The sequence below is a fragment of the Homo sapiens genome, chromosome 2, assembly GCF_000001405.40.
Source record: "Homo sapiens chromosome 2, GRCh38.p14 Primary Assembly".
Taxonomy (NCBI): domain Eukaryota; kingdom Metazoa; phylum Chordata; class Mammalia; order Primates; family Hominidae; genus Homo; species Homo sapiens.
Window position 1 is genome coordinate 43,431,017 of NC_000002.12, and position 24,726 is coordinate 43,455,742.

The following is a 24,726-nucleotide window of genomic DNA, read 5'->3' on the forward strand; positions in this document are numbered from 1 at the left end:
TTGAACTACGAAAGTAGAATAGTTCCTCAGGCTGCACCACTGACCAAAAAGCTCAAGCTAAATATGGCATTTAGGAACAAACTGTCTCCATAACTATTAAAGAATTACTCCGAAGGGGTGACATAAATATTCCCTAACCTACCCATTTTTATCAGCTCTACATGTTATGTTCCTATTAATTGAAATCCAGAATATCACATTTTAAAAAAACTGAAACGTTTTTACACACAGCAAAATGCTGTGATCAAGTGTACCATTCAACCCACACATACATACACTCGTAATCCACACCCCTATCAAGACTCAGAAAATTTCCATCATCCCATAAAGATCCCCCATGCCCCTTCCCAGCAAACTCCCGCCCCACAAAGGAACCTCTGATTTGATTTCTATCATTACAGTTTGGTTTTGTCTATTCTAGAATTTCATATAAATGTAATAATACATTTTTGTTTGTTTGTTTTTTTGAGACGGAGTCTCACTCTGTTGCCCAGGCTGGAGTGCAGTGGTGCGATCTCGGCTCACTGCAACCTCCATCTCCTGGGTTCACGCCATTCTCCTGCCTCAGCCTCCCAAGTAGCTGGGACTACAGGCGCCCGCCACCACGCCCGGATAATTTTTTGTACTTTTTTTTTTTTTTTTTTTTTTTTTTTTTTTTTTTTTTTTGAGACGGAGTCTCGCTCTGTCGCCCAGGCTGGAATGCAGTGGCGGGATCTCGGCTCACTGCAAGCTCCGCCTCGCGGGTTCACGCCATTCTCCTGCCTCAGCCTCCCAAGTAGCTGGGACTACAGGCGCCCGCCACCACGCCCGGATAATTTTTTGTACTTTTTTTTTTTTTTTTTTTTTTTTTTTTTTTTTGAGACGGAGTCTCGCTCTGTCGCCCAGGCTGGAATGCAGTGGCGGGATCTCGGCTCACTGCAAGCTCCGCCTCGCGGGTTCACGCCATTCTCCTGCCTCAGCCTCCCAAGTAGCTGGGACTACAGGCGCCCGCCACTACGCCCGGCTAATTTTTTGTATTTTTAGTAGAGACGGGGTTTCACCGTTTTAGCCGGGATGGTCTCGATCTCCTGACCTCGTGATCCGCCCGCCTCGGCCTCCCAAAGTGCTGGGATTACAGGCGTGAGCCACCGCGCCCGGCCAATTTTTTGTACTTTTATTGGAGACGGGGTTTCACCGTGTTAGCCAGGATGGTCTCGATCTCCTGACCTTGTGATCCGCCCACCTCAGCCTCCCAAAGTTCTGGGATTACAGGCGTGAGCCACTGTGCCCAGCAATAATACGTTTTTTTGGCTTGCTTTTTTCACTCAGCACAGAGTTTATGAAATTTATCCATGTTATTCAATATATCAATAGTCTGGTTCTTTTTCTGTTGAGTAGTATTCCATTATATGAATCTGTAAGTTTGTTTATTAATTCTCCTCTTGACAGGCATGGGTTCTTTACCTTTTTTTTTTTTTTACTATTATGAATAAAGCTGCTATAAAATTCTAATATAAGACTTTTTAAGGACACGTTTTCATTTCTCCTGGATTAATATCCGAGAATAAAACTGTAACATGTCTAACCATTTAGGAAACTGACAGTTTCCTGAAATAATTATACCATTTTACACTCCCAACAGTAAGGTAGATTTCTGATGGAGATTTCTACAGTCCTTTGAACATTTGCTGTTGTTTTGTTTTTCCTTCCTTTGTAGCCATCCTTGTGGGTATGCAACAGTGTATCTCCCATGATTTTGATTTGCATTTCCTTGACGACTAATGACGTTGAGCACTTTTCATGTGCTTTGGTCATTATTATGACCCTTTGTGAAGGATCTCTTCAAGATTTTTGCTCATTTTTAATAGGTTGCTTTTCCTTGGTCATATATATGCATGGCATATACCTTCTTCTAGTCTGTGGCTTGCCAACTTATTTAATAATGTCTTTTGATGAGGAGAATTTTAAAATTTTTGACAAAGTTCACTATTTAATCAATTTTTTTCTTTATGATTCATGCTTTCTATGCCTAAGAAATCTCTACCTACCTAAGAAAGATATCGTATATCTTCCTCTAGAAGCTTTATGGTTTTAGCTTTTACATTGAGGTCTATGATCCATTTAAAATTAATTTTTGTGTATAGTGTGAGATAGAGGTCAAGGTTCTTTTTTTCCACATTGGTATTTCATATTTTTAATCGGGAGATTTTTTTTGGAAAAAAAAAATGATATGCCTTAAAAAGGAGATGTGCTGCTGGGTGTGGTGGCTCACACCTGTAATCCCAACATTTTGGGAGGCCGAGCCGGGTGGATCACCTGAGGTCAGGAGTTCAAGACCAACTTGACCAACACGGAGAAACTGTCTCTACTAAAAATATATAAAATTAGCCGGGTGTGGCGGTGCATGCCTGTAATCCCAGCTACTCTGGAGGCTGAGGCAGGAGAATCACTTGAACCTGGGAGGCAGAGGTTGCAGCGAGCCAAGATCACGTCACTGCACTCCAGCCTGGGCGACAGAGTGAGACTCCATCTCAGAAAACAAACAAACAAACAAAAAAAGGAGATGTGCTGTGCTCATAGATGAGAGGATTCCATATTATAAAGATGACATTCTCCCCAAATTGATTATAAATGCAACGCAATTCCAATAAAAACAGTAATTGTGTGTGTGTGTGTGTCTGCAAGACTTCATTTTATTTATTTATTTTTTGAGACAGAGCCTTGCTCTGTTGCCCAGGCTGGAGTGCAGTGGTGCAATTTCGGCTCACTGCAACCTCTGCCTCCTAGGTTCAAGCAATTCTCGTGCCTCAGCCTCCTGAGTAGCTGGCACTACAGGTGCGCACCACCACATCTGGCTAATTTTTCATATTTTTAGTAGAGATGAGGTTTCACTATGTTGGCCAGGCTGGTCTCGAACTCCTGACCTCAGGTGATTGGCCTGCCTCTGCCTCCCACAGTGCTGGGATTACAGGCATGAGCCACTGCGCTCAGCCCTGAGAAGTAGATTTTAAATTGTATATAGACACATCAAGGGCCAAGAGTAAGAGTAGCAAAGATAATCTTAAAGAAGAACAAGGTTGGAGGACTCACCCAGATAGCTAAAAAAAACCATAACACTCATGTAATTAGGACTATGAGTACAAGTAAGCCAATAAAATAGCATAGAAAGCACAGGAGCAGACATATATTAATACACGTATAAAACTTGATTTGTGTAAGAGCTAATACTGCAGATCACAGAGAAACGTAGTGTGGTAACTGATTATCCACACAGACAAAATTACAATTGGATCCCAAGCTCCCACTGATATGAGAAGAGGGCAGGGAAGTGCTGGGAGGAGAAGGGCTGGTTCCTGGCGAAGGAGGCTCTGTCTCCGGCCTGTGCCCACGGACCTAGGTGAAGACAGGCACTCCTGCCTTCGTGCCCAAATGCTGCATTTCCCAAGACCACCCTGGCCCGCCATGCCCCCAACCTGTACCTATAAAATCCCCCAAGACCCTAGCACGCAGGCACACAAGCGGCTGGATGACAAGAGGGGCACATGGGCGGAGGAACACACAAGCGGCTGGATGGCAGGAATACACCAACAGGCACCAGCAGGCCATCGACTGGCGAAACAATGAGGAGTTTGGCCAGGGCAGTCAGAAAAGAGACAGGCCGCCGAGTGGCCCAAATCCAGCGGAAAACCATCTCCCTTCTGGTTCCCCCATCTGCTGAGAGCTACTTCCAATCAATAAAACCCTGGACTAATTCTCCAAGCCTACGTGTGATCAAATTCTTCCGGTATATCAAGGCAAGAACCCTGGGATACAGAAAGCCCTCTGTCCTTGCAACAAGGCAAGGGGGTCTAATTGAGCTGACTAACACAAGCTGCCTATGGACAGCTAAACTGAAAGAGCACTCTGTAACACACACCCACTGGGGCTTCAGCCGTAAACATTCACCCCTCGACACTGCTGTGGAGTGGGAGCCCCACAGCCTGCCTGTCTGTATGTTCCCCTACAGGTTTGAGCAGCTGGGCGCTAAGAAGCGAGCTACAATCCCATCACACACCTTGTGAGGGGGACTCACACACCCTGCAAGGGGGACAAGGGAACTTTTCCTGTTTCACTACTACGTATACAAATTAAATTCCATTGACTTCAAGGCTTTAAAACAGCATAAACAAATAGCCAGGGCCAGGCGCAGCGGCTCACGACTGTAATCCGAGCACTTTGGGAGGCCCAGGTGAGAGGATCACCTGAGGTCGGGAGTTCAAGACCAGCCTGACCAACATGGAGAAATCCCATCTCTACTAAAAGAAGAATACAAAATTAGCCAGGCATGGTGGTGCACGCCTGTAATCCCAGCTACTCAGGAGGCTGAGGCAGGAGAATCACTTGAATCTGGGAGGTGGAGGTTGAAGTGAGCCAAGACTGCACCATTGCATTCCAACCTGGGCAACAAGAGACTCCTGGAAGGAAGGGAGGAAGGAAGGGAGGGAGGGAAGGAGGGAGGGAGGGAGGGCTGAGCAAGGTGGCTCATGCCTGCAATTCCAGCACTTTGGGAGGCTGAGGCCAGCAAATTACTTGAGTTCAAGAGTTCGAGACCAACCTGGCCAACATGGTGAAATCCTGTCTGTACTAAAAATACAAAAATTAGCCAGTTGAGGTAGCATCTGCCTGTAATCCCAGCTACTTAGGAGGCTGATGCGACAGAATCGCTTGAACCTGGGAGGCAGAGGTTACAGTGAGCTGAGATCGTGTAACTGTACTCCAGCCTGGGCAAGAGTGAGAACTTGCCACCAAAAAAAAAAAAAAAAAAAGAAAGAAAAGAAAAAAGAAATGCATGAGGGTTTTTTTTTTAACCTATTTTGAAAATTTGGGATTCTGCCCTGAGCATTCCTGGCATAATGCTTCTTTCTTTCTTTCCCCTAATGACAAATCCAGGCAGCCTAGTTAGTACACCTTCCATGTGGCAGCCTGGCCAAAAGAGCCCTAGGAAATTCTAACTTAATTCTATTTAGCCACCTGGATTCTCTTAAAAGGATTAACCTAGTTCTAAATCATAAGATAATGACTACTTGCTTGAGTACACAGCTTGTTGAGTCTTCCTAAAGTGGCCCATGAGTACATAAAGGGTCTCTGTAAAATTTATAAAAATGCCTTGTTTCTCTTGTACCTGACTATTCTAGACAAAACGTCTGGTTGCAAGTAGGGAGCAACTGGAAAAAAGACAAAGTTATAAATATTGAAATGGGAGAACTGATTTTGAGGAAGTAGAGAGAATAACCTTGACACCTGGGAAGAGACTATCTCAGACCCCGGGAGGTACAATGGGAGGAAGAACATAAATGGTGTCTGTTTTTTGAAATTGCCCCAAGAGCCTTCCTCACCAAGGAAAATGCTCTGCTCTTCCCCCAAACTGTCATGAGCACATTAAATTTAACCAACTGCTGGGTCTGTGAGCCTCCCTCAGATGACCTGAAGCACAATTTGATTGCTTTCCCCTTAACCTTACTGAGAAGCCTATCAGAAACTATATGTTATGGCCTTGGCTCCAAGCACCTGTCAATATCTCTGAATGTCCTTCCCTTTTCTGTAGCCATAGCTCAATCATTTCAAGGGACAGCTGAATGCCACTCAGCTGTTGGTGTGGGCAGAACTGGATAGGTTGGAATGACTGTACTTAAGCAATCCTTCCAAAACCAAGGACTAGAATACATTCTTTGGACTAAACTAGAAACTTTAAGATTTACCAGCTGATTGTTCAATGGAGGCACTATCAACATATGCTCCTCAACTGACGTAGGGATCTCCCCAAACTGTAAACAAATGCTTTCTTTACAGGAGTACTAAGTGTGTCCTTGGGACTCTATTTCTTTTGTGAAAGCAGGCATTAACTCTTCCCCCAACCAAACACGGTGATTTGCACCTTAGGGGTGGCTGTAAGCAAATTTCAAATGTTTAAGGAAATACCACCAGTAGGTCATATAGCTCTCAGATGTCTACGAAGATCTCTCCAAAATGGGGTTATGCTTGGTTATTCACAGAAGCTTCCCAGAGATATAAGCAACTCATTATTTTTGCACACCCTGTGGTTGGTTACTCCTGCTATAAGAGTCATTCAATTAAAAACATGGTACAAAATTTATCAGCTGATTTTAACTGAGGTAATCACTGATAGCACTTCAGCCCATAAAGCCACTCAGGTTTGCTTCAATTCACAGGGCAAGTCATAACAATATAAATGAAAAATTTTCTTAGACTTCCAATCTACAGGTTAAGATAAGATAAGATAAAGTCTGTATAATCACTAATACATTCTGCTGTACCTGGCTTAATGGCTTGGACTAAATGGAAAGGTCAATACAAAAACTTCAAAAGACAGCCTTTTGAGTTTCTACCATAGACCCTGTTGGTTTCTGGGATTTGTACAAGTGATTGGATCTGAGATGCTGGGTGGCATAGTTGATGTCAATACTGAAAGCTGAGCTCATCCTGCTGCTTGGTGTCCTACTGGTAGTAACCTTAATTAAATGTTGTATGAGACAAACTGAATGGATTTGGTGCCAACTCATCACTTAGATTAATCGAAGGAGCCAACAGTGTGATGTATTCATGGGAGAATTCACTAGAATTTTCACCAGAAATGGGAGACAGATGCTGTTGAGAGACAAGATGAGTTACTGCCACTGTGCCACTATTGCAAAGTGAAGCACTGACTGCCTTTTGTTCTGGACTTTCCGGACTCTATTCAAGGATGTTTATATAATGAACAGCATTGGAAGATATAGTGTCTCCCTCTGGATAATAAAGTTTTTAAATTAAAAATAAAAATACAGGCCACAAATGGGGAGAACATTTGTATATATATATCTAAGAATTACATAATCAGTATCCAGAATATACAAAGAACTCAAGTGATCACTGAATAAAGGACAAATAATATAAAAATGGACACACCTATCAAAATGAAATTCACAGAAAATAAACATAAGTGGTCAAGAAACAGTAGAAAGGATGCTCAACTATACCAAGGGATGGCCAGGCGCGGTGGCTCACGCCTGTAATCCCAGCACTTTGGGAGGCAGAGATGGGCAGATCACGAGGTCAGGAGATCGAGACCATGCTGGCTAACACAGTGAAACCCCGTCTCTACTAAAAATTAAAAAAAATTAGCCGGGCAAGGTGGCGGGCGCCTGTAGTCCCAGCTACTCGGGAGGCTGAGGCAGGAGAATGGCGTGAACCCAGGAGGCGGAGCTTGCAGTGAGCCGAGATCGTGCCACTGCATTCCAGCCTGGGAGACAGAGCGACTCCATCTCAAAAAAAAAAAAAAAAAAACCCAAACTATGCCAAGAGACTATTTTATACCCTCAAATTGGCAAAGACTAATAAGTCTGATAATACCACGTATTGAATCTTTCAGAATACTGTTCATGGAAATGAAAATTACTACAGTTCTGAAAAATAATTTAGGATTTTCTTGAAAGTCAGAGATGTGTTTACCTAGTGACTCAAGAATGCTACTCCAAGGTAAATGGCCTAGATAAACTCTTGAAAACGGGCATCAGAAGGCTTGTACAAGCATATGCACAGCAGCCACTTGTTCATCAACAAAACATGAGTAAACTGTAGTATAGTAGTCCCCGTATGTGAGCTTTAAAGAATAATACAATAAACACTTTGGATCTACCACCTAGCTAAAGAAGTGGAACATTACAGTAGTCCCCCCCTTATCTGAGGGGATACATTTCCATACCCCTAGTGGATGCCTGAAACTGGATAGCACTGAACTGTGTATATACTATGCTTTTTCCTGTACATACGTAGCTGTGATAAAGTTTAATTTATAAATTAGGCAAAGTAAGAGATTAACAACAATAATAATAAACTTGAACAATTATAACAATATATTGTAATAAAAGTTAAATGAATGTGGTCTCTCTCTATATATATACCTTATACTGTACTCATCCTACTTCTTGTGATGATGTGAGATTTTATCATGTGAGATAAATTGCCTATGTGATAAGATAAAGTGAAGTGAATGACGTAGCATTTAAAACTTATGAACTGTCTCTTTCTGGTTTTTCCACTTAATATTTTTGAACCACTGGTGACCAGTAACGAAATCACAGAAAGCGAAACCATAGATATCCTCATCCTTGGTTTCAGTTTCCCTTGGTCAAACATGGTTCGAAAATATTAAACGGAAAATTCCAGAACTAAACAATTCATAAGTTTTAAACTGAGTGCCATTAGATATTTAGATCTATAGAGAGATCTTGAGAGAGACGGAGAGAGAGAGAGAAAGATCACACTCGTTTAACTTTTATTATAGTATATTGTTATAATTGCTCTATTTCATTATTAGTTACTGTTGTTAATCTCTTACTGTGCCTAATTTATAAATTATGAGTAGGGTGATGAAATCTCATGCTGTCCCACTCCATTCTGCCCAGGATGTGAATCAGCTCTCTATCCAGCTATCCATGTTGTATATGCCACCAGCCATTAGTCATTTAGTAGCCAACTCTTATCAGATCAACTGTCCTGGTGTCACAGGGCTTGTGTTCAAGGAACTTTTATTTTACTTAATAATGGCCCCAAAGCACAAGAGTGTGATGCTGGCATATTGTTATAGTTGTTCTATTTTATTATTAGTTATTGTTGTTAATCTCTAATTGCACCTAATATCTAAACTTCATCACAGCTATGAGTGCATAGGAAAAAATATAGTGTATATACGGTTCAGCGTATCCATGGTTCGAGGCATCCACTGGGGGTCTTGAAAAGTATCCCCCACAGATAAGGGAAGACTACTGTAATGTTCTATTTCTTAAACTAGGTGTTAGATCCAAGGTGTTTATTGCATTGTTATTCTTTAAACCTTATACATACTTTATACATATTCTTTTACCTATTTCATAAAATCGAAAGTCTTTTAAAAAAAGAAATCCTTACTCCTTTCCAAATTACAGACCCATTAAATATTTATTGAACATTTTATCCAAAATATGTTCATTTCCTTTTTTATTTATTAGATATTTTAATGGAAAAAGTAAAAATGCAAATGTTAAAAAATACACACTAGACTCCCCACAGTGCCTTTCCTCATATAGAACTGTGTAATAGCATTTCAGCTTTCCTATTTTAAAAAATTCAGTGCATACAGGTATATACTTTTAGTTTGTAGTTTTTTTCCTTACAAATAATCACATTATATACACTTTTCTGCACCTTGAGTTTTTTTTCACCTAATCTGCAAAATTATTCCATGTCAGGCACACTGATCTATTTTCTTCCATTTAATGGCTACAGAGTAATCTATTGCATGATTGACTGTAATTTACTTAATCCCTAATGACAAGCCTTTTGGTTATTGCTAGTCTCTTGCAGCTACAAATGATTATATGTACATTTCCTTGTTAATAAATTACAAACTTGGGTTTTACAGGATCACTGTTTTACACAGGGAGAAAGCAAAATCATTCCACTACAGGCCATTGTTATATTCTTGACCACCTCAGAGCAAAACTGGTCAAGAACATCAATTTCCACTGTTAATGTCCTTTCCTTGGCTTTTGATTCTGTGAAGAGAAGTCACTTAAAGGTAAATCTTTGAGTTTAGTATTGGGATCCCTGAGTATATTTGCTCATTCAGAATCTCTCATTATACAAACAGAAAGGCAATGGATATGTCTTCTTGAGGAATCAGTTATTAATTTCCAGAGAAATAAGTGGTCTGCTATTTCTTGGTTGAGTAAGAAACACACGTAATCTCACTTATGCACACCGTATGATTCTATCACTATGATCTAGAAACTGCCTAATAGATAACTGGCTCTGCTGACCATAATACCACTCTGAGAAAAGGGCAGTGGAGCTACTATTCTAGGATTAAAGTCATTCTTTTAATTGAATTAAGCTAATTGTCCCAAACAGCAAGCTATGTCATGCAGTTACCTTAGCAAATATTTACCAACTAGTTTATCTTGGAAGCTATATAAAGAAGGTACTTACTGAAAATTAAACTTCAGTGAACGTTTTAAGTAATTGTTTTGTTTTTAAGAGCAAAGTAGGTTTTTGACTACATCTTTTCAAAAGTATACTGTTAAAATTATTGTGGCCATGCCTGATGGTGCGGACTTTGAAGTATCAACTATGCATTTGTCAGGGTTTAAAAATATCAAAATTATTTTCTACAGAAAATTTCAACCTTGTTCAAGCACTCTGAGCATACAGGAAGTGTCCTTCTAACATTCTTAGGTTCCTCAACACAGAAATGTCAACCCTATTTCTGGTTTAGTTCAGCTAAAAGGCCAGAGTTCTAATTTACTACAAACACAAAAGAGCTGAGCTCCATGTACTCGCCAGGGAGCATCATCTCAACTCTGCATTAGCCAAAAGCTAGTAAAGACTTGGTTAAATATTTACATAGTATGTCTGAAGGATATGCAACATTAACAATTCTTGTGTATTATAAAACAGACTCTCAATAGGTAGAGGGTAGGAGAACCAGAATTATTTAAGGGGCTTATCCAAACTTCACTCACTTCTGATTCTCAACTACACTAAAAGGTCTACTGTAGACTCTACAGCATCTTGAATCCAGAAATTAGGCTGATATCAACACCAGCCTTCAACTAACCATGACCATATTAGTTTTCATGGTTGTACTGAGAGAAGAATCACCATTTATAATAGTGTCTCCATATAAAAGAATTTCATAGGTTTTGGACTGCCCATGTAAGGTCTGTAATCTAGCCTTACTTTAAAAGGCCAAGATCATAGGACCATTTTAGGTCATATTTGAATCTCCCTGCTCTGAATCCTAGAATAGGTGAGTCTTCTCTCTCACTTGCTACTTAATCAAAACTGTAATGTGATCGTATTTTTTTCACAAAAGTAGCAAATATTTTTTTAAAGTACCTACATGCTTCATGTTGGGCGCAATCCTATGGGAGATACTAAGAGTAAAAGAGAGTCAGTGCTCTTGGAGCTTAAAACCTGGTTAAGAAGACAGGTATTCACATACAATATAACTAATAGCATAAGGCAAACCATTTTAATAGTCAAGTGAATGATATTTACAATAAGAGTTTGGAGTTGGAAAATATATCATTTGGGTCGGGGACATCATTATGGATAGTTTTGTGGGGAAATTGGAAACCAAGTCCGGCTGCAGTAGCTCAAACCTGTAATCCCAGCACTTTGGGAGGCCGAGGTGGGCGGATCCCTTGACGTCAGGAGTTTGAGACCACTCTGGCCAACATGGTGAAACCCTGTCTCTACTAAAAATATAAAATTTAGCTGGGCGTGGTGGTGCGTGCCTGTAATCCCAGCTACTCCAGAAGCTGAGGCAAGAGAATCGCTTGAACCCAGGAGGCGGAGGTTGCAGTGAGCCAAGATCACACCACTGCACTCCAGCCTGGGTGAGCGACAGAGGGAGACTCGGAGTTGCAAAGACAGAAAAAAGAAAATGGAAACCAAAATGAGCCTTGAAAAATTAGTAAGACTGGATTAAAAAGGAGAGAAGACAGCATGCAAGGGAAAAGTACTTAAGCTGACTGGATGACAAGAGGACTTCATGACGAAAGAAGGTACAAAAATTTTTTTTCTGGCATTAATTTTTTTTAGAAACTTGAATGCCAAGCTAAGCAGCTTTGCTGTCTTATGGGCTTTGACAGTTTCTGAACAGGAGAGATATGTTACAAGAGCAGATGGACTAGGCTAGAGAGTAGAAACATGGTGACCCCATGGACCTTCACTAAATGTGTCCCTTATCACCTCAACTAGAGCACAGATTTCTGTAGGTTAAGGACCATGTCTTCTAGTTCCATCAACATTCTATGCTCTCTCTACCCTCTAGATTGTGGCAAATATTGTACTTTCTGCCAGGAACACCTCCACTCTCCGCCTCTGCTGCCCACCGCACCCCTCCTGTCAGACTAACTCCAAATAATCTTTCAACTTTGGGCTTAGGCAGACTTCTTCCAGGACACATTCCCTGATATCTCAAGTCTAGCTTAGGTACCTGTCCTCGGTTGTACACTACACCCTTTGCTTTCCCTAACACAGGCAGCATGTCATACATGAAACTTCCTGTTTTCTTGCTTATTTTGCCCACTAGATTATACACTCTGCACAAGAAGAAACCATAGCTGACTTCATTTTCTCCACAATATTTAAGATACTGAGTATAATGCCCAGTTTACAGCTGGTGCCTACTAAACAGTTGCCGAGTGAGTGAAGCGAAACACAAGGACAGAGTCCTTAAGACAGGCAAGGAGAAAAGGAATTATGACCAAGATAGTAACACATTAATAATTACACAAAATGCATCATCAGGTATAAATGTAGTGGCATTCAGAATCATCATTTGAGTTAATAAAATGAGTACCCTGCCAGAGCTTGAAATGTTCTTAAACACAAATAAATAACGCTTGTCTCACTGGTTTACAAACAGTTCAATTCTAGTTCACCGAAACAAGCAAACAGGCTAATAAGTTACCACTGCAGATATAGCGAGCCCTGGGGGTAAATTCTCCAGTGACAGGCATTTCAAACGTTTATCTATGTGATCAAAAACCAGCCTGGAAAACAATAAAAGTGATAGCCAAAAAGGAAAAACTGAAGCTCTGTAAGTTCAAGCTCCTAGGAAGAAAAAAGGAGACCACTAAAAATTGTGAATGGGATAAAACAGACAGGTGAAAACAAACAAATCAGGATAAAGAGTGAGAATGAAGCAGCTTTAAATTCAGAACTGTCAGACTATGCAAAAGGTGAGTTATTCCCTCTCCCACCAGGTAAGGATATGCAGGCACAACTGATGAGAGGCCCTTGGGGAAACACAGAAGCTACTTGCAGATCTCTACTTGCCTAGCACAAAGCATAAGGTGCAGAGAGCAAGAGTGGCGGTAACCTCTACCAACAAGGCAACCCTTGGCATGATCCGTTCATTGCTAGACTCCACAGAGCCCACAGCCAGGGCCTGGACAAAACAGGTCAGCAACAGAGGTTTACTGAATCAAAGAAAACACCTGCCAGGCACCATTTCGTTTTATTTTAAAAGCTTTAGAAATATTATTCTAGCACTATATGGTTATTGAGGAAAAAATAAAGAATGCCACAAAGAGAAATCTAAAAATCACCACGAACTTACCAACTAAATTTAGCCACCAGTTTTATGTTTTGATGTAGGTCCATCTACACCTCCCTCCTCATATAGTGTCCTATAATCAGCTTACTGCACTTACTAGCATATCAAGAATGGTTCCATATCAATCTGAAGCCATTTTAACATAGTAGTCTCTGTGTTTTACACTCTCTGTGCCTCTCCTGTGTGTGAACATTTGTCTGGCCATACATTCCTCCGGAGCACTAACCTTGACACCAAGAACAACTTACTCCCATCTGGGTTAAGCCATAGGTGGAACGCTGCTACTCCAGCTATTTCAATTTGTCTGCATATTCCACATCTAATCTTGGTAATGCCAAGGGTCTAGTTCTTGAGTTTTTAGAGCATCTGAGCTTTGGCCATTTTGGTAGGCTTTTAATCCAATCTGCCATCTAACAGCCTAGAAAAAATTTAAACCAAGCTCCAATTTCTCATAGAAACCCTGTCTTCAAGATCTGCCACACATATGAAAAGTTGCAATGCCAGAAGCACATGCTTCTGAACAAAAAGTATACCAGTGAAAACTATTGTGCAGTGAAAAAGGCATCTGGTGAAACGTGTTGAAAAAAAGGTGGGGGGGGAGGTATCCACACACACCCATTTCTTATACACACATCCCATATCATTCTCGATCATCTCAGGAATAGGGATCAACAGAGTAATGTACAGAGGTATAAAAAGAAAAGCTAGCAAAGGCAAGCAAAGCCACCATGTAGGAGTAAGGAACTGCATAGGAAACAGTAGTAAAGGTGTGGGTTGTGTCCAGTTTTTAAAAACAGGACTTATTCACAGGCCATGGAGCAAACACCATAAATCTGGTCACTGGATGAAAACAAATGCTGAAGGCCAAAGCCTGGGGGTTTTCAGTTAGTATTTCAATCGGGAAGCCAATAAACTATTAAAACGGAGCTATTCCCTAGATTCTGGCCTATAAAACCACCCCACAAGAGAGAAATCATCTAACGGCCTGTGTCTCCTCACCACAGTGATTGCTGATAAAAACAGCAACCTCATCTTAAGAAAAATAATCCCCCCATCCCCCGCAAAGGAAACAAACGTACAAAGAAGACAAAGCATGCACATGCGTTTCAAAGGATATGATCAAATGCAAACTAATAAAATAGAAACAACTAATAAAAAGAAATCTCAGTTTGAAATCCCATCAGGAAGCCCATCTCTGATTCTGCTCTTGGAATCCTCTCAGATTCTGTTCTTGGAATCCAATCCCTACCTCAGACTGGGCTGACACTAGCTTTTCTCCCTAGAGTAGTTAACAAAACAATGAGTGATCAGAAAAGAGATGTCAGGAGTCCCGTGGTCAGAATCTCACACTCAGGAAGTCTGTGTATTCATAGCGATGGATCTACCAGGAAGCCCTTTCAGGCAGACCATGTTTGAAGGAAAGCATCCTCCTCGGGGCCTCTGTTTTGAGCACACTGACTGATCAGGGCTCCAACCAGTATCCTTGTTTCCCTGCCGATCCTCTGTAGGTAGCCATAGGATTTTTGGACTTTTTTTGTTTTTTGTTTTTTTGAGACAGAGTCTTGCTCTGTCACCCAGGCTAAGAGTGCGGTAGCACAGTCAGAGCTCACTGCAGCCTCAAACTCCTGGGTTCAAGTGATCCTCTTGCCTCAGCCTCCTAAGTAGCTGAGACTACAGGCACATGTTGTCATGCCTGTCTAATGACGTGTTGTTTTTCTAATCCTTCCCTTTCAGAAGTTGCTTTCAAGGTGGAGAATTCCCAAATCACTAAACTGCCTATTACAATACTATCCTGAGACAGGGAAGTGAAAGGTCTTGGTCCTGGAAGAGCCCTGCCACGCCCCCTGTGAAGTCACTGGCCCAAAGGTGGGCCAGGAAACACATTTCCACTCCTTTACACAGTGAGTTGGTGAGTAAATATCAATCTCTTGAATTCTTCATGTGTGCAAGGTCCCATTTGGGCAGCTTACATGGGTATTTTTTAACTAGGAATTCTTTTTTAGAAAATGTTCCTAAAAAATCATTTCTAAAATCTCACAATCAATTAACTGTTATAGTTTAATTCAATAATCATTTACTAAACAGTTTCTGATAGACTTTTTCCAAAGATGGTCAACAAACTTCTATCGTTCCTTATATGTAAGTGCCTCCTTCCTTCGAAGAAGTGGGTCTATTTCCCGTTTCCTTGACTCTAGGATGCCTCATGACTTGCTTTGATCAGGCAGCAGAAGTGACACTGTGCTAGTTCTGGCTTAAGCTTTACAAAGCATGGCAGCTTCTGGGTTCACCCTCTTGAAGTCCTGACTACCCTGCTAGAGAGAGGCCACTTTGGCCCCCAGTCATTTATGCTTCTACTTCCAGCCCCAGAAATGTGAGTGTGAAGCCATGTTGGTTCTATCAGCCCCAGCTGAGGTCTCAGATGAAAGCAGCCACCTGAGTGATCCCAGATGACAACACATGGCGAAGAAGGACTGCCCAGCTAAACCCGCCTGCCACACAGAATTGTGAGAAATGATAAATTGTTAAGTCATTAAATTTTGGGGTTGTTTGTCATGCAGCAATACGTAATTGAAACACAGTTATAATACTGAAGGCAATGAGTTAGACTCTGTGGAAAAGGTAATACTAAATAGAAGAGATGCTGATAACAAGGAGCACACGATTTACCTTTACTATATTGATTCTCTCATAGTTCTAGAAGTCAGAAGTCTGAAATCAGTATCAAGGGTATCAAAATCAAAGTGTCAGCAAGGTACCTCTAGAGACTCTACAGCAGAATCCCATCTTGATCTCTTCCACCTGCTGGTGGCTGTCAGTATTTCTTGGCTTATAGCTGCGTATTAGTCCGTTTTCATGCTGCTATGAAGAAATACCCGAGACTGAATAATTTGTAAAGAAAAGAGGTTTAATTGACTCACAGTTCTGCATGGCTGGGGAGGCCTCAGGAAATTTACAATCATGGTGGAAGACACCTCTTCACAGGGCAGCAGGAGAGAGAATAAGAGCCAAGCAAAGGGAGAAAAGCCCCTTATAAAACCATCACCCCCCATGATTCAATTACCTCCCACCAGTTCCGTCCTACGATGCATGGGGATTAAGGGAACTACAATTCAAGATGAGATTTGGATGGGGTCACAGCCAAATCATATCAAGCCAAACCATATCAAACCATATCTATATTACTCCAATCTCTGTCACTGTGGTCATACTCTTTTCTTCTGTCTCCCAAATCTCCCTCTGCCTCCTTTGTATAGGCAATTTCATTAGGGCCCACCCAGCTAAGCCAAGATAATCATCACCCCAACTCAAGATTCTTAATCACATCTACAAAGATCCCCTTTCCCTTACAAGATAGCATTTATAGATTCTGGGAATTAGGATCTGAGATCTTTGAAGGGCCATTAATCTGCCTGTCACAAATGCTAAAACACAAGAGTTAAGGCACTGCAAAAACTGATTATAGGAATTGGAGTTATTCCTGTCATATCCAAGCAAATCAGAGTCAAGGAACCCAGGGAAAAAGCACTCAGGACACAAAGTGCCAGCTCCAGGAACTGTCTCACAAGCCCAGCTGCTGAAATAACCTCCCATAGCCTTAAGACTAGTTTTACCTAGTAGCTGCTGAAACGACCTGTAATTTAATGAACTTTGTTTCAAAACATTTTATGTAATATTTCTCTTTCCCAGTAAAATCCCAACATTTCCTTTGTACTTTGGACATACCAAAAACCACTCTGGTCTTTGCATATATCCCAATTTACAATTCTGTTTTTATATATATATATTCCTAAATAAAACTTTCTGCTTAGAGATTTGTCTCTATGTTATCCGATTTTTGACAGCACTAAGGGGGAAAGAATAAACATAACTAGTTTTTCCAAGGCAATTGTTTTTCCAAATCTTTAAAGCAATGGATTACTTATTTCAAATATAATGCCAATTTTTATTAATAAAGCATCGAAACAAAACAAAACCAGTGAAAGAATTCTCGAAAGATGACTAAGTAGGAAGCACTAGGAACCTGTGTTCTCACGAAGGCAACAACTGCACTGGCAGAATGGGTCTAGTGTAACTATTTTGAAATTCTGTAGTCTATCTGAAGGATTGGACAGTAAATTGCAGTCAATTTTGGTCAGTTTCAGCTCCTAGAACTGTAGCAGCTAACCAATCCCTAGCCTCATGGCGGGCAACTATGCACATGCTCCAGGATCAGCTTACACAAAGCCTGTGGGATGAGGATCCCGTCCTCCAAAAATCTGGGGATCTGTGCTTTGATCAATGGTTGCTGTTCTGATCTTGGAGATACAAACACATAGGCAGGCAGCCATTGTTGCAACCCTCTTAGCACAGTTACAAACCCCTCCCCTCAGGCTGAAGCAACTTGCAAGGAATTTAAAGGGCAATTCACTTTTCTTCCTTTCTTTTTTTTTTTTTTTTTTTGCTTTTATTTTCTTCTTCATTTTTCTCTTTTCCCACTTTCAGAAGACAGATATTTAAAGTCTAGGACATTCAAAAGTAACCACATATCAGGGGAATGTAGAAGGTTACCACACACACCCAATGAAAGGTGCAGGCTCAAAAAAGACCTGAGAAAAACTTAAGCTTACACATCAGGCAGACCCCCTGACACAGACAAAGCCTACCACAATCAAACAACAAAAGTAAAATCAGAAATCAGCAAACCCTGAGAAAGAGGGAGAACCTGATTTCCAGAGTTACTACACTATTAGATTCAAGCATCCTGTTTCCAACAACAACAACAAAACAAACAAACAAAACCCTGCTAGGCATACAAAGAAACAGGGAAAGATAGCCAATTCAAAGGGGGGGCGGGGAACCCAACAGGAACTGGCCCTGAGAAAGACTTGATGGTAGAGACAAAGGCTTTAAAACAAGTATCTTGAAGCTGTTCAAAAAACTAAAAGAAGACATGGAGAAAGTCAAGAAAATGATACATGAACAAAATGAAAATATTAATAAATAGATAGAAACCTAAAAAGAAACATAAAAATACCTACCACTAAAATGTACAAGAACTGAAGTAAAAAATTCATTAGAGGGATTCGAAGGCATATCTGAGTAGGTAAAGGAAATAATCAATGAACCTGAAGATAAGACAAGGGAAATTATTGAGTCTGAGGAACAAAAAAAAGATTAAAGAAATGTGAATAAGTCCAAGGGACCTGTGGAACACCATCAGGTGAACAAACATTATGGGAGTTCTAGAAGGAGAAGAGAGAGAGAGAAAGAGGTAAAGAGATTATCTAAAGAAATAATGACCAAAACTTCCCAAGTTTGATGAAAGACAGGAATATAAACATCCAAGAAGCTCAATAAACTCCAGATAGGATAAACTAAAAAAGACCCACACACATTAAAATCAAACTGTCAAAAGACAAAGACAAAGAGATAAGCTTGAAAGCAGAAAGAGAAGCCCGGGCAACATGGTGAGACCCCATCTCTACAAAGAATTTTTAAAATTAGCCAGTCATGGTGGTGTGCTCCTGTGTTCCCAGCTACTTGGGAAGCTGAGGTGGGAGAATCACTTGAACCCAGGAGGTCAAAGCTGCAGTGGGCTGTGATTGCACCACTGCACTCCAAGCTGGGTGACAGGGCAAGACCCCGTCTTAAAAAAGAAAAAGTGACTTGTTACATGCAAACGGTCCTGAATAAGATTATCAGCCAATTTCTTATAAACTTTGGAGGCTAGAAGGCAGTGGGCTGATATATTCAAAGTGCTGAAAGAAACAAACAAAAAAACCTGTTAACCAAGAATCCAATACCTGGCAAACGGTCCTTCAACTGTGAGGGAGAAAATAAGACATTCCCAGATAAATAAAAACTAAGTGAGTTCAGTACCACTAGACTTGCCCTGCAAGAAATATAAAAAGAGTCCTGAAAGCTGAAATAAAAGGACACTGGACAGGAACTTGAAGTCACATGAAAAATAAAGATCTCAGTAAAGGGAAATACATGGGGAGTTACAAAAGCTAGGATCATTGTAACTCTGGTTTATAACTCCACTTTTTGTAATCTACAAAAATTTAAGAGACTAGCATATTTTTAAAAACTATTATTAGATTAAAAACCAGTATTATTATAACTTCATACTTTGTTTTCTACATAAATTAAGAGATTTATGCACAAAAATAAAACAACTACTAATGTTTTGGACACAACTGTATAAAGATATAAATCTGTGACATCGGTAACTGAAAGGGGGTAGAGACGAAGCCATATAGGAGCAGAGTTTTTGTATACTACTGAAGTTAAGGTGGTATAAATTCAAATTAGAATGTTACAACCTTAGAATATTAAATTGAAACCCATGGCAGCCACAAAGAAAATAGTTATAGAATATACACAAACACACAAAGGAAATGATGAGGAAATTAAAACATTTCACAGCAAAAAATAAACTAAACATTAAAAAAAAGCTATAAGGCATATAGAAAACAAATAGCCAAATTACACAAGTAAGTCTCTCATTAGTAACTACTTTAAATGTAAAGGATTAAACTCACCAACCACAAGACAAGAGATTGGCAGAATGGATAAAAAAAAACATGATCCAACTATATGCTGTTTACAAGAGACTTGCTTTAGCTCTAGGGACACAAATAGATTAAAAGTAAAATCATGGGAAAATATATTCCATATAAATAGTAACGGAAGACAGCAGGGGTGGCTATAAATAAGCCAGTCACAAAAGACAAACACTGTATGATTTCCTTTCTATGAGGTAGCTAGAACAGTCAAATTCATAGAGACAGAAAGTAGAATGGTGGTTACTGGGGCACTGGAGGAAAAGGGGAATGAAGAGTTATTAAGGAGTATAGAGTTTCAGTTTTGCAAAATAAAAGGAATTCTGAACATAAATGGTGGTAATGGTTACACAAGAATATAAATATAGTTAATATCATTGAACCATATACTTAAAAATGGTTAAGATGGTAAATTTTATGTTATGTGTATTTTACCACAATAAAAAATATGCTATTAAATTAAAACAAAGAAACCAGAGCTGTTCTGGTTGAAGCAGGATTGAGGCAAGTGATCAACAGTTTGGCCTCTCTCTTATCCTTAGGCAAGCACAGATCCTGAACTGCCACCACGAGCTCCAGAGGCAAAGTTTAGAGCTTGATGGCTTTAGAAACTCTAAAGTGAAACTCTGAACAGCTATCCACACTCCTTATTTCCTCATTTCCTATTATCCCTATCTTTCCAACCTACAGAAGCACATTCCATCCCCCACTGTCCATTATTCCCTACAATACCAATTTTACTTTTTCATAACATTAACAGTTACTGTTGTTTTACTGAAACATGTTTAAAGTCCATCTCCTCTCACTAGGATGTTAGCTCCCTGAGACTAAAGACTATCTAATTTCTGCTCTGATCCCAGCACCCAGAATGGTGTCTAGTACATAGGAGGCATTAGTAAATATTTGCTATCTTCTTGCTATTTTTTTTAGAACTTCCCACAAATCCTGCCCCTTCTTTTTCAGCCATAGGGGTTCCATGTTAATCAACCTGACTCTAAAGATATATACAAGATTACAGAAACTCTTCTTTGTTAATTCTAAAGAGCATCACATAACCTTAGTCAGGAATGTGTACTAAACATGCCAACAGTTCAAACAGTACTACATTTGTCTCATCTACTATACTATCAAGAAATCACAGGCTGGGCTCAGTGGCTCACGCCTGTAATCCCAGCACTTCGGGAGGCTGAGGCAGGTCAATCACCTGAGGTCAGGGGTTCAAGACCCGCCTGGCCAACGTGGTGAAACCCTGTCTCTACTAAAAATACAAAAATTAGCCGGGCGTGATGGCGCATACCTGTAGTCCCAGCTACTCGGGAGGCTGAGGCAGGAGAACCACTTGAACCCAGGAGGTAGAGGTTGCAGTGAGCTGAGATAGCACCACTGCACTCCAGCCTTGGTGACAGAGCGAGACTCCATCTCAGAAAGAAAGAAAGAAAAAAGAAATTGCCCAACAATTCCTCTTTCATTCATTAAAAGTGAATAGACTAATTTAGCATAAGGTCCAATATTCTCAAATAATTTTTTTTTGTTTCTATCATTTTGTTCAGCTAACACTTTTAACTAAGATTAATATTAATATGCCAACTCATATTGTTCAAGTGAGGGGGTGGTGCCAATAGTCCCATATTTCAAGGAACATAATAAAACTAGAAGTATTTTCAAATGACTGTACTCATTTCCTTTTACAGATGAGAAAACTGATACCCAAGGAAATGAAGTGAGTCTCCCAACATCAAAATACAGCTTGGAGGTAAATACAGAACTAGAATCCAATTATCTTATTTCCCAATCTAGTCATTAGACATTCCAAGGTTTCTATTTTACAAGTAATCTAACTACTGCTGTGCCAGGCATCTTCTTAACAAGCAGAGGACACACTGTGACCCAGACAGGCCAGTTTCCAAAGAAGTTCATGTGTCCCCATGGTTTGGTTGTATGGCAGTCTCTCCACTGCTGTCAATCAGCCTGGTCAGGTTAGATTAAGGTTCCTCACCTGAGCTTCTACTCCGACACACTGAGTCAGGCCCACCCACTGAATTTATGGGAGTAGATGAACAGGCAAACTGCCAGCTAAACTGATCTTTTAAAATCTAATCATCTGCTGTTACAAAGCATTTTTGGAGATCACTGGACCACAGATAATTCCATTGGGTCCAATAAGTCTCCTGTCTCTCCTGTATTCAAATTAAGAGACTCTTCCTAATATACTAGAATATCCCTTACTACCCTCCACCCACCCCCAAAAAAACATCTAACTCCCGTGCAAATCAAACCAGAAAAGAGTGTGTGTATTTGTTCTTATTCAGGCTAAATGCTTCACTTTTCCCCAGTGAACCGATGCTTTTTGTAAGTCTGTGAACACTCAGGCTGAGACTTATTTACAAGAAAAATAAACAAACAAACAAAAAACCCAAGTAGTCACCAGGCAAATGTTACACTCCCAATTAAGACACAATGCTGTCTATAGGTATGATGTGATGTCTGGTATACACATATTTTCCCAAATTCACAATTAGAAGAAATAAGACTCAGGATACAAGGTGTGATTTTCCTCAGCTGCAGAAGTATGGAAAAGAGTCCCTTAAGAAGTGGACATCCATCTCAGACTGCAGGAATTAGTCTTCCTTCTGAAGAACTGCCTGGAAGTACTCAAATAATAGGATAATTTTCAACAGATTGGCTGGATTTCCAGACGGAGAGGGAAAGCCAGCATTTGGTAGAGTTGTGAAAAGAACATTTTGGACATCTTAGCCATTTGTTTTTTTGAGAGCTAGAAAACTAATCTGGAATAAGTATAACTCATTATTGCTATTATTATTAAAAACTCTAACCTCTGGCTCCTGGGGCTGGCAGCAGTAAGTAGGTTGGTTTCTGTATACATGCAAATGAAATTTATTAAGTTAGATATTCCAAGATGAGAGTCCTGTTTTTGGTTTTCTCACAAACGCTGGTTTTTTAAAGTACTCTGAAGTTAGTAGACTGCCACCTCTTGCAGACCCTGGAAAGGAATTTGCTTGGCCCCAAGAGCAGCCTGTACATTGAAATTACACAGAGTCAGACTTTCAACATAGCTGGGAGTCATTCCCTTACATATGTGTTTCCGCTTAATAGCCAGACCCAAAATCGTTTAAAGACTGAAGCTGTGTTTGCTACTTCAACTATATTTCTTATAGCACCCAGCAGAGGAGAACAACATAGCATGCACTTTCTACATTTTGTTTTTAAGAGACAGTGTCTTGCTCTGTCACCCAGGCTGGAGTGCAGTAAAGCAGTCATGGCTCACCGGGCTCAAGTGATCCTTCTGGCTCAACCTTCCAAGTAGCTAGGACTACAGGCATGCACTACCATGCTTGGCTAATTATTATAGAGACAGGGTCTCGCTATATTGCCCAAACTGGTCTCAAACTTCTGGCCTCAAACAATCCTCCTGCCTTGGCCTGCCAACTTTTTTCTTTTAAATAAATGAAGAAATAAATCAAGTCTCTTTTCTTCCCTTTAGTTATATTCTATTAATTGCAATTAATATGCACTCATTAAAACAAACAAGCAATATACAAATAAGTAAGTAGAAGGAGAAATTCCACTTTGTCCATTCTAGACCTTTTCTATGCACATATAAAAACATTAAATTAGCCAGGTTCAGTGGCTCATGCCTGTAATCCCAACACTTTGGGAGGCTGAGGTGGGAGAATTGCTTGAGTCCAAGAGTTCAAGACCAGCCTGGGCAACATGGTGAAAACCCATCTCTACAAAAAAATACAAAAATCAGCCAGGTGTGTTGGTGTGAGCCTGTAGTCCCAGCTACTTGGATGGCTGAGGTGGGAACATCTCTTGAGCCCAAGAGGTCGAGGCTGCAGTGAGCCAAGATCACAACACTGCACCCCAGCTTCAGTGACAGAAGGAGACCCTGTCTAAACACACACACACACACACACACACACACTAAATTACACATACATGGTTATGTTAAACAATATTGTTTGGCAACTAACTTTTAAAAAATACTTAGGTGCTGTATTCATGTATGTCCTGGAAAGAAAGAGAAAGATATTTTCCTTGTCCTTAATTTAAAAGAAAACTTTTAAAATAAAAGTACACTCTATTTTAGCTCCAAGTGTGATTAACAGTTAAGTTAAATACGAATAAGAAGCAAATCATATGCCCTCAGAATTTTGAAGGCAATGCTCCATTAACTTCTAAGTCCACTGTCATTTTGATTCCTAATTCTCTGTATATGAGCTGTTTTTTTTTTCTCTCACTTCACAAAATTTTGGAAATGACGAGTCTTGGGGTGAATCATTTTTCATTCACTGTACTAGGACTCATGTTCTTTAGTTCTACATGTTCTTAAGCTACTTGATAATTTTCTGCCCTCACTTTGCTCTGCTCTCCTTTCTGAACTTCTGTAAGTTGAATGTTCAACTGCCTGATAATCCTCTAATCTTATTTTTTCTCTCCCATGTTCCATCTCCCTCTCTCTAGGTCAATCTCTGGCAGTGTCCTTTTACTGTCTTCCCTAGTATGTACTGAAATTTTTACTTGGGCTATCATATTTTTTAATTTTCTAAAGCTCCTTCTTATTCACAGATTGCTCTTAATTTCATCTCACCTCCCTGAGAGTGTAACTTACTTTTTTTCCATCTGTTCCCTATATTACAGTATACCTGCTTCTACGGAATTCCCGTTTTTAAAAAATCTCTATTTTTCTTTCTATTGTTGATTATAAATTTTAGGTGGCAGCTGTTTCTTGGTATGCCTGTAGTACTTCTGTCCGTCATACAAACACACTTTCTCTCTTGCATAAGCACGTGCTCTCGCTCTCTCTCTCTCTCACACACACACACACACACACACAAACACACACAACAATGCAAAGAGTAATTCTGTCAGTTAAAAACAGGAGCATATTAAATGCTATAATGTGTAAAACAAGGGTTAGAGAGCAGGCTAACAAGAAGACACAAGAGAAGCCTATCCTGAATAAGCAGTATTGCAGAAAGGCATTTATGCAAAGGATAGGTTAGGTTCTGGCTTATACTCATCCAAACACGCTTT

The 24,726-nt window shown here is 40.2% G+C and overlaps 1 protein-coding gene across 7 annotated transcripts in view; it reads right to left on the minus strand.

The window, feature by feature from the left end:
• THADA (THADA armadillo repeat containing) overlaps positions 1–24,726 on the minus strand; it is a 365,188-nt gene that overhangs the window by 200,166 nt on the left and 140,296 nt on the right. The window lies entirely within an intron of this gene.